This window comes from Homo sapiens, chromosome 12 (genome assembly GCF_000001405.40).
Source record: "Homo sapiens chromosome 12, GRCh38.p14 Primary Assembly".
NCBI lineage: Eukaryota > Metazoa > Chordata > Mammalia > Primates > Hominidae > Homo > Homo sapiens.
The window spans coordinates 130,248,545-130,259,292 of NC_000012.12; the positions used below are offsets into that span (position 1 = coordinate 130,248,545).

Here is a 10,748-nt window from a genome sequence, read left to right on the forward strand (position 1 = left end):
AAATGAGCAGTTGGGATTGGGTGAATCAGATCAAAGTCTGGGCTGGTGTCCAGTGCTCCACCAGGAGCTACTGGCTATGAAGATGGTGAAGGAGACCGCACCCCAGAGAGCCCACAGGTGGTAGAGACGGAACTGAATGTGTGCCCAGACTCTTGTTTGGTGGGGTGAAGCTATTGATTAATATTAGACATTAATAAAAATTTAAAATTGAATATGATGGTTAAAAATTTAAATTACCTCTAGAAAAATATAACTAGTATGTATAACTACTAAAGCAGTTGTTTATAAAAAGTTAAATGGAATAAATGAGACTTGCTTAGCTCAACTTTTAAAAAACAAAACGTGGAAAAGAAACAACATAAAATAAACAGAAATACAAGCATGTAAGGACATCATGAGATAATAAACACTATTCACCCAATTCCCCTATAAAAGGAAAGACACCTTCAACTTGGGTACAAATAGAAACTCAGCTACATGCTGTTTACAAAAGGGATATCAAGGATGAAGTAAGTTTAAAAGGGAAGGGATATAAAAATGCAATATTAATTTAGACCAATGAATTCAAAGTAAAAAGCCAAAGAAGAATATTCAGATTACCAGAGGTATAATCATTGAAAAAATATGACAATCGCAAAGTCTTATGCCCAAAAGTTATGGGCTAATCTTATATATAATTATAAATAGACAAAATATTAGCATACTGAGTCTAGTAACACATTAAAAGGATAATATATCATGTCAAGGTTGAACTTATTTATCCCAGAAGTCTTTAGAATGATCATAAAGAAAGGGATGGAAAACTATAAAAGAATAGAACACCTTAAAAATGTGTGGATTTGCAAAAGAAGCATGTAGAAATTCTAAGATTAAAAAAATAGTGTTGGAAATAAAACAGTCAACGGATGTGAAGTAGGAGGCGGGGCATAGCTCTGGAGGCAGGGTCCGCACTCCAGACCAGATCAAAGACTGGCTGAAAAACAGGAAGGAGGTGAAAGCAGCCCTTCATAAGACACGCCCACCAGTGCAATGTCAGTTTACCATTGCCATGGGAACACCCATAAGACACGCCTACCAGTGTTATGTCAGTTTACCATTGCCATGGCAACACCCAGAAGTTACTGCCCCTTTTGCAAGACAACGACCCAGAAGTTCCCACCCTTTTTCTAGAAATTTCTGAATAAGCTCACCCTTGTCTGGGATGGAATTAAAAGTAGATATAAATATGGCTGCAGAACTGCCCTGGGCTGCTGCTCTCAGGCACTGCCTGTGGGCCCTGCTCTGCTGTGGTGTGGTGGTCACGGGGCTGCTACCCTGCACCTCCATAAAGCTGCTTCCTCCTACCACCAGCTCGCTCCTAAGCACAGCCAAAATCCTTCCCGGGCTAAGCCCAGTGTGGGGTTCGCCTGCCCTGCTTCAGACGGATTGAAGATCAGATCAGATACAGCGGAAGAAAGAACTACTGGACTGGAAGGTAAAGCTGATGGCCTTTTCCCCCATGAACCACGTAGAGATGAAGGAATGGGAAAGGAAGAGGAGAACCGTGGGCTCTGCCAACCATTCCCCTGTGGGAGCGTGCTTGGTCTAACCTCACTCTTCCTTTTCCATTTTGCTGTGGCCACCTCTGCCACCTCAGAGGTTCCTAGGTGCCATTCCCACTGCCTGGGCCTCTCATATCCTGCCTCTTCCCAGGAATAATTTTCATTTCATAGGTGTCAGCTCAAGTCCCATTTAATGCATTCAACAAATATCTATCGTGCCTCGTGTTCTCACTTTGACTCAGCAGACCCTGTGGATAGAGAGTGAGACAGACAAGTCCCTGTCCTCATGGGGCACACACTCAAGGCTTGGGGGCATGGGGAGCAGATCATCAATAGGATGACACAGAAAGAAGCATATTTTAATTTTGATAAGCGGTACGAAGGAAATAAAACAAGTTTTCTTCAGGGAGGCCTTCCTTGGCCATCTGGTCTAACCTGGCCCCCTATTCTCTAACACGTTGGTCAATTTGTCAGACCCATTGAGCTTAATCCATGAGAATGTCAGCTCTCTAAGAGCAGAGCCCTCATCTGCCTTGCTTATGGCCATGTCCCCAGTGCTGTGGACACAATAGCTGTTGGACAAATAAAAGAGATTGTAAATAAATAAGTGACTTTTAGTGGCTCTCAGAGGCAGGTGCTAGCCTCCCATGGCTAATTTTAAGCCTAGGAATGTCTTTGCTCTCATCCATCCCCTCCCCCTTTGCCAGCAGTGTGCTAGTAAAGGTTTAACAATTAACTCTTCAGGAAAACAAAATGACCAGAATACAATAAATACAATAAACACACTTGATTTGTCATGTTTGCCAATTTCCATGGTGTAAATACTCCCATCGTGGGCAACTTCAAGTTACCAACATGACTCACCAGACGGAGATGGGAAGAGATGCCTGCAGCCCCCGGCGAGCGTTTCCTCCACGCAGTGAGCCTCAGGAGCACAGGTCATCACGGAGTGCATTGAAGCTGAGTTCTCTTCTACCTTTATTTCCAATACAATTGCTTTAAATGTACATTTATGTAATTTAATTTTTAATAATTCTGTGTTTACAACTGGCTCACAAAATTCCTGGAAAAAAAAAAAAAGCCTGTATGAACAGACTCCAGTGCACAACTCCCTGATGCTGAGAATGACCAGAAATGTAAGTGGATTGAAGGAAAGCCAGGTCGTTAACTCCCAAATGGCTTCCCACAAAGCGAGAAGTTTCTTCCTGCACTGGCACAAGGAGGCCAAAGACCAAAAGACATGTCTGAGGGCAAAGGATGGGGGTCATATGTTATTTGACTGCACTAATGGCACTCAGTTGGCAAAAACCTCCTTTTGTGAGTGAGGCCCACATTCCCACAGCGTCTGAGATAAATGGGCTCCACACTCCAGAATCCCAGCTAATTCAGCTAGTAGGAATGCAAACACTGATCCAAATTGAGGCCCCAGAACAGTCTCTTACATCTTCCTCGCCCCAGGGGGGATGAATGAGGAAGATTACTTGTGGATTATAATTGCTTAAAATAGGTTGTGATGTAAAAATCTAATCCCTTCTACTCTTCAGTAGTAAAGTCCTACAGACAGAGAAATTATGCTTAATGCCAGTGTATTGAAGGTAAAAAGAAAATTCCGTTCTCCCTCTGGGGGAAGAGGAAGGACATCTTTTTAGAGCTGTCAGAATTCACAAGCCATAATAAATTATTCTTTTTCATTACTGATTTATTAAGCAGGCTGCTTGGTGTAATGGCAGAAAATTTCTGTTTAATTTTCATAGTATTAGACGACTGTGATTCCCGATCTGAAATCAACTTGAGTTATTAAAAGAAGGGAATGTATTTAATGTCGTGCATCAGGGTCTGTCTTCATTAAATTCTTCCAACTACAGGGTTTAAGCATTTATGCAACATGGCTGTTGTTTGCTTGGAAACGAGACAACAGCCCTTTCTTGGGACAGTCTGTGTCAGGTGTGCTCAGCCCAATACTCTTCCATTTTAGTGATTGGCAGGAAAGTCAGCCATAAAATGCTAAAAATGGGTCTGAAAATCCCAAGCTAAAGAATCATAGAACCCAAATAATTCTCTACCATACATTTTCACTGGAATTAAGAGTTTTTAAAATACAACTGACCAAAATGTGAGAATCATTGATGTAGCTAGAACTGGGGTAAGCATGGTATGTGTCAGAAACTTTCAATCACATACATGAAATTATAATTACGTGAGCAATATTTGTGCCCACGAAGGAGCAAAACAACGGTGCCTGGCTGCCTTTTGCTTATCCCTCTGCTGCTGGGAGGGTCTTACACTGAGTTACAGGATTTCACAGATCTTAGAATAAACAAGCACTCACCAAGTTCTTACTACGGGATGAGTAAGACTCATTTTCAGCCCTAGAGGAGGTTTTAAAATATTCTGGAAGACAATTATCTATCGAAGATCCACATGAAATACGGGATGTACAAGTCAGGTCTGAGAAGGTGCAGAGAGGCATATACTCCACCCCACCTGGGGGGTCTCATCAGCTCCACCCCACCTGGGGGTTCTCACCAGGAGCTGAGCCTTCCCGGGTTTTATGGAATTCATCTGCAATAGAAATTTTGAATAAATGCAGCCTCTTACTGCCTTGCATAATATCATTAGAATTTTCTTGAATTAGCAGAACCAGTGAGTAACCGGGTACTACCCCATTCTAGGTAACATAATCTCTAGGTTGTTCTGTTGAGTTTCACTTAGTAATCAATCTCTGAGTTTGCAGAAGCTGGCCAGGTACAAACGAAATGTGCAACTCTATCCAACTGAATGAGCTTGGGACTTCTGGCCATGTTCTAAATATCTCCTTGGTGTCTTCATATGGGCATCCACTTTTCTTGGATGTAGCTGGCCAAATAGTTGAGACCATTTCTGGAGTCTTCAATGGGGCTCTGCTACTGAATTGTTCTTTTCACATGGTGCTTTGAATACTAGGGCCACCATGAAGGCAAATGCCATTTGTTCCCCATGAATAGAGGGAGGTGGCCCGGATCACCACCCAGCAACGTGCCCGGCACAAGGAGGGCACTCATCAGTCACCAGGGGGCAGGTAAGTCCAACTTACCATGACTGCTTCCACGGCTCTGGCATTCCCATAGAAGGGGCTGGGCCATCCGTCGCAAATACATTCCGATAAAGATGAATGTTTAGAAGAAAATAAAACAGGGGTAAAGGGATAGAGGTAACATCAGCACAAGGAGGCAGGGTGAGGAGGATGCTGTAGATGGTGTGTGGATGCTGTGGGTCTCAGAGGGTGCACTTTCCTGAGGCTGGGATGACCACAGAAGCCCATCCTGTGAGGAGGTGAGGATGGCATTGATGCTGAAGCCCTCACGGGGCCCAGGGAAGACAGAGGACTGTGTGGAGCCCAGGAGAGCTGGGCAGGAACCAGGTCACACAGGACTTTCCAGCCCCCAGGAGGGAGTTGGCATTTTCCTCTAAGAGAATCCTGGGTCCACAGATGGTTTTAAGCAAGAGAGTAGCACAATGTTTATTTTAGAGGGGTCCCACTGGCTGCAGAGTAAGAAAGAAGATGCTGACTCCAAATGACCTCCAGGCAAGGTGTGAGGTGGTGTGTGCTTGGGTGGAAGAGGGCATGAATAGCAAGGGCTGTCCTTGAAATATGTTTGGAGACTGAACCAACAGGTCTTGCTAATTGACTGAATATGGGTGGGGAGGGTAGTGCGAGTTGGTATCCGGAACGACACCTATGTTTTTTGGCACCTGCGGTTGCTGGATGGAGTTAGCGTTCAGCAGCAAGAGAAAGACGGGGAGGAGAACAAGCCTGGAAAATGGAGTGGCTGAGGTGGGAGAGGAAGGCTCTTGCTGACTGAACAACTTTGTGTTGGTGCTCTCCTGCCTCCCCGCCAGCAGGATTCACTGGGCCTGTGACATGTGACCACCTCCTGATCAGTCCACAGCCCGCCTCCCAAAATGGTGCCAAAAACACCGCACTGCATCTTCAAGGAAAAACATAAATAATTCCCTGCCAAGGCATTCCAGCCTGACTCAAAGGAGGTGGGGTTTGTTTGAAGAAAATCCAGCTCTCCTGGGCTGCCACCCACCTGTTCATCCACCAGGGACCTCCTCCTTGAAGACACCTGGATGTTTTGGACTTGGAGTCATTGACCCAGTTTGCGGATGGTAACGAAGGGGCAGGAGTTGTATTCACAAAACCCACTGATCCAGAAAACCACGATCGGGAAGGATTTTCAATTTCAATGGCAGGGGTGGTGGGGGTGGTGGGGGTGGATATTAAAGGGGAAAAAAAGGAGCAGAAACAAAAATAACAAGGCCATTAATCTTTCATTAAGTTAAAGGGATGAAAAGGAATCGCTTAAAGTATCATTCTCTCCTCGCACCACAAGCATGTTGCCCCCTGCCAACTTCAAAGGCTCCGAAGAGAAGTTGGTTAATATAGTTGGCACAGTATCAGGCTGTGGTTTACTTTTGCTTAAGTAGGATCTTTTTTTTCCTTTTAAACAAAGACAGCATAAGGGTCGGACGCTCATTGATGGGAGGTGCAACCTGTAACAGATGCCTTTGTGTTGGGCGCAGAGGCCTTTCGCGGCGGCTCTGCCAATCCGCGGTGGTTGTGGACTATTTGTCACAGACTCCAACAACCATCACAGGAAAAAAAAATCTGCCAGAAAGAGGGTAGAGAATAGAATCATTGTTCTGTTCATTCTCCGCCTTCCGCCTCTGTAGAGTCAGGCCTGTTCTGTGACTCGGCATCAGGGCTCCTGGTGGCCTTCCTCAAAATGCAGTTTGCAGGAAAGCAAGCCAAGTGTCCCACTTTTCCTGCAGAGTGAGTGAGCGGACAATCCCTCACCTGTTTGCGAATGGGGGGATAAAGAGTTCTGCGCTCTGGGAGGCTGTATTTTTCTTTAAGGCAGTTCTGTTTATACTGAAAACAGAACTAATTGGCAGTGAGTGGCAGGGCTTTGTGGCTAGGCCTTGGCTCTGTGTTGCTGCGGCTGCAGGGGCAGGGCAAGCTGTCCCTCCTGGCAAGTGCCGAGGTCTGTGTTTGTTGGGAGGGTGTGGTGACCTGCGGAGGAGGCCAGAGCTGGAAGCCCAGCAGAGGTTTCTGAAGGCCATTATCAATGTCCTGCCATATTGAAAGGCCGTTTTTCCATGTCCATTCCTTGGTTTGTTTTTTTTTTTTTGTACTTCATTATTTTCATTTTCTTAAGAGACAGGGTCTCACTGTGTAGTCCAGGATGGAATGCAGTGGTTTGACCATAGCTTACTGCAGCCTTCAACTCCTGGGCTCAAGTGGTTCTTCGGTACCACCATACCCAACTACTTTTTTTTTTTTTTGTAGAGATGGGGCCTCACTATGTTACCCAGGTTGGCCTTGAACTCTTGACCTCAAGTGATCCTCTTGCTTCAGCCTCCCAATGTGCTGGAAGGGATTACAGTCATGAGCCACCATGCCCAGCTTTGGTTTACTTTTAATGAGGAAGGCAGAGATTGGGGAAAAAAGACACGTTTGCCTTTTAGGAAACACGCCATAAATGTGATTTCCTAAAGTAAGTGGGTGCTTGGCCTTGCCTATTGGTGCCATAACAAGTCAGGGTTAAGTACTTCAGATCCAGAGATAGGGTGACCAGAGGTCCCAGTGTGTCCGGAATTGGTGGGTTCTTGGTCTCACTGACTTCAAGAATGAAGCCGCGGACCCTCGCGGTGAGTGTTACAGCTCTTAAGGTGGCGCGTCTGGAGTCTGTCCCTTCTGATGTTCAGATGTTTTCGGAGTTTCTTCCTTCTGGTGGGTTCGTGGTCTCGCTGGCTCAGGAGTGAAGCTGCAGACCTTTGCGGTGAGTGTTACAGCTCTTAAGGCAGCGCGTCTGGAGTTGTTCGTTCCTCCCGGTGGGCTCATGGTTTCGCTGGGCTCTGGAGTGAAGCTGCAGATCTTCGCGGTGAGTGTTACACCTCATAAAAGCAGCGTGGACCCAAAGAGTGGGCAGTAGCAAGATTTATTGCAAAGAGCGAAAGAACAAAGCTTCCACACTGTGGAAGGGGACCCAAGCGGGTTGCCACTGCTGGCTCGGGCAGCCTGCTTTTATTCTCCTATCTGGCCCCACCCACATCCTGCTGATTGGTAGAGCCGAGCGGCCTGTTTTAACAGGGCACTGATTGGTTCGTTTACAATCCCTGAGCTAGATACAAAGGTTCTCCACGTCCCCATCAGATTAGTTAGATACAGTTTCCACACACAGGTTCTCCAAGGCCCCACCAGGGCAGCTAGATACAGTGTCGATTGGTGCACTCATAAACTTTGAGCTAAACACAGGGTGCTGATTGGCGTATTTACAATCCCTGAGCTAGACATAAAGGTTCTCCACGTCCTCACCAGAGCAGCTAGATACAGAGTGTCGATTGGTGCACTCACAAACCTTGAGCTAAACACAGGGTGCTGATTGGTGTGTTTACAATCCCTGAGCTAGATATAATGACTCTCCACGTCCCCACCAGACTCAGGAGCCCAGCTGGCTTCACCTAGTGGATCCCGCACTGGGGTTGCAGGTGGAGCTGCCTGCCAGTCCTGCGCCGTGCGCTCTCATTCCTCAGCCCTTGGGTGGTCGGCGGGACTGGGCGCCGTGGAGCAGGGGGTGGCACTCGTCGGGGAGGCTCGGGCTGCACAGGAGCCCATGGAGGGGGTGGGAGGCTCAGGCATGGCGGGCTGCAGGTCCCGAGCCCTGCCGCGTGGGAAGGCAGCTAAGGCCCGGCGAGAAATCGAGCTCAGCGCTGGTGGGATGGCACTGCTGGGGGACCCAGTACACCCTCCACAGCCGCTGGCCCGGGTGCTAAGTCCCTCATTGCCCGGGGCCAGCAGGGCTGGCCGGCTGCTCCGGGTGCGGGGCCCGCCAAGCCCACGCCCACCCGGAACTCCAGCTGGCCCGCAAGCACCGCACGCAGCCCCGGTTCCCGCTCGCGCCTCTCCCTCCACACCTCCCTGCAAGCTGAGGGAGTGGGCTCCGGCCTTGGCCAGCCCAGAAAGGGGCTCCCACAGTGCAGTGGGTGGCTGAAGGGCTCCTCAAATGCCGCCAAAGTGGGAGCCCAGGCAGGGGAGGTGCGGAGAGCAAGCGAGGGCTCTGAGGACTGCCAGCACGCTGTCACCTCTCACCAGCATCCCCAGATGGCTCCAGAATCACTGAGTTAACAGCCTCTGAAACCCTCGACTTTCACTGCTTTGCAAGTATCGTCATTCAACCTACTGAATAAATTAAATCAGGTTGGGTCCTGGCTCCATCGTCATCCCTGGTGAGTTCTGGGCAGGCTGCTCACAGTCTGAGAACCTCTGCTTCCACTTGGCCCATGGTGAGAATAACATTCTTCCTGGGTTATTGTGGGGACTAATTGAGAGAGAGTACAAGACCCCATCTGCATGTCACAAACACCTGCTGCCTCCGTAAAACACAATGGGGAACAGTGGCAGGGAATGTTAGCTTGTCCAAAGCATTGAGTTTAGAAAGAAGAATGTTATGGTTTTTAGAAAACATCATGTATGTAGGCTGAAATAAATGTTTCTAATAGCTTACCTCTGTGGAGAGAACCACAAAACAAAAATAAGTTAGGAGGAGGGAGTGGTGGTGCAAGGCAAACCTCGTCTGCTGAGGGCCTGCCACGGGGTTTGGGGGTGCAGCTCTGGGGTGCCTTCTTCCAGCACCTGGGAACTCTAAAGCATGTGGTAGTTTCTTTGCAGGGCTTCTGTGAATGTGCAAAATAGAGAACAGGGCCAGCACATAGTACACACTCAGTTAAAGTGAACTGTTGACATCATTGCCGCATTTAGTAAGAAAATCTATGAATACAGATATATAGAGATAGATGTAAATATAGATGTAGATATATAGATACAGATATAGATAATAGAATATGTTTCAAAGCAGGCCACTAGAAGAGGGGCCAGTTGCTTTCCAAAGCTGGGGGAGACTGAGGCAGGCACTCAGACAGCACCGAACCTTCAAGGATCTTATGGATAAGCCATTCTGTGCTACTAGTGAAATAGTCATGATATATAACTATTTTTTTGAGACAGGGTCTTGCTCTATTGCCCAGGCTGGAGTGCAGTGGCACAGTGGTAGTTCACTGAGACAGGGTCTTGCTCTGTTGCCCAGGCTGGAGTGCAGTGGCACAGTGGTAGTTCACTGAGACAGGGTCTTGCTCTGTTGCCCAGGCTGGAGTGCAGAGGCGCAGTGGTAGTTCACTGAGACAGGGTCTTGCTCTGTTGCCCAGGCTGGAGTGCAGTGGCGCAATGGTAGTTCACTGGAGCCTCAATCTCCATGCTCAAGCGATCCTCCTCTCTCAGCCTCCTTGAGTAGCTGGGACTACAGGTGTGCACTACCACATCTGGCTAATTTTCTTTTTATTTTTGTGGAGATGGGGTCTCACTACGTTGCCCAGGTTGGTCTCAAACTCCTGAGGTCAAGCAATCCCCCTGTTTCGGCCTCCCAGAATGTTGGGATTATAGGCGTAAGCCACTACACCAGCCATAACCAACTTTCTTAACTTCCAGTTAACTTCTTTCCATCTCAGTTTGGAAAATGAAAATATTTCCTGGCTCAAACTGTATGTCAAAGAAATCACAAAAATAAATCCCTAATTATCCATTTCCCTACATTATAATTTGACTACTATACCTAGCATCTGAACCATACCCATGTCCAGAGCCAGGGCAGACTTGGTGAGTTGAGATCATAAACAACTGAAACCCAACATGACTGAAAAAACAAGATTCCTTTCTTGCTGAGGTTCCAGGCTCCTCATGGATCTCCGGGGGAGTTCTGCCCCGTGTTGCCCTCGGGGAGGGGGGGATGTAGGTTAACAGAACTGCTGACACGTGGCCAGGCTCCATGCCAGAGGGAAAGGAAGTGTGACAGGACCTGACCACGGTGTGAGCCTGGTCAGAACCGGACCCAGGACCCCACCTCGCAGCAAAGGGGAAGCACAGTTGTGCCCCACATCGGGCACTCACTGGACATGTCCAATTGTCAAGACCTGGATTACCACCAATATGCGAGCTACTCCCCAATCCATCCAAATTTCCTTCTCCAGGCTGGACCACTTCCCTGAACTCCAGACCCAAATTTTCTTCTCCAGGCTGGACCACTTCCCTGAACTCCAGACCCACGTATTCAACTATTTCTTTAACACCTGTGTTTGGAAATCTAAGAAAAATCTAACATATTGAAACCC

At 47.6% G+C, this 10,748-nt stretch overlaps 1 annotated feature.

Annotated features, from left to right (window-relative positions):
* Positions 3,285–3,454: an enhancer, noted in NCBI's record as "experimental_25816 CRE fragment used in MPRA reporter constructs". NCBI's record gives its function as "activates a minimal promoter by MPRAs in K562 erythroleukemia cells, with activity observed for both the introgressed and non-introgressed 12:130736459 variant alleles {active_cell/tissue: K562}" and the evidence as "EXISTENCE:reporter gene assay evidence [ECO:0000049][PMID:34662402]".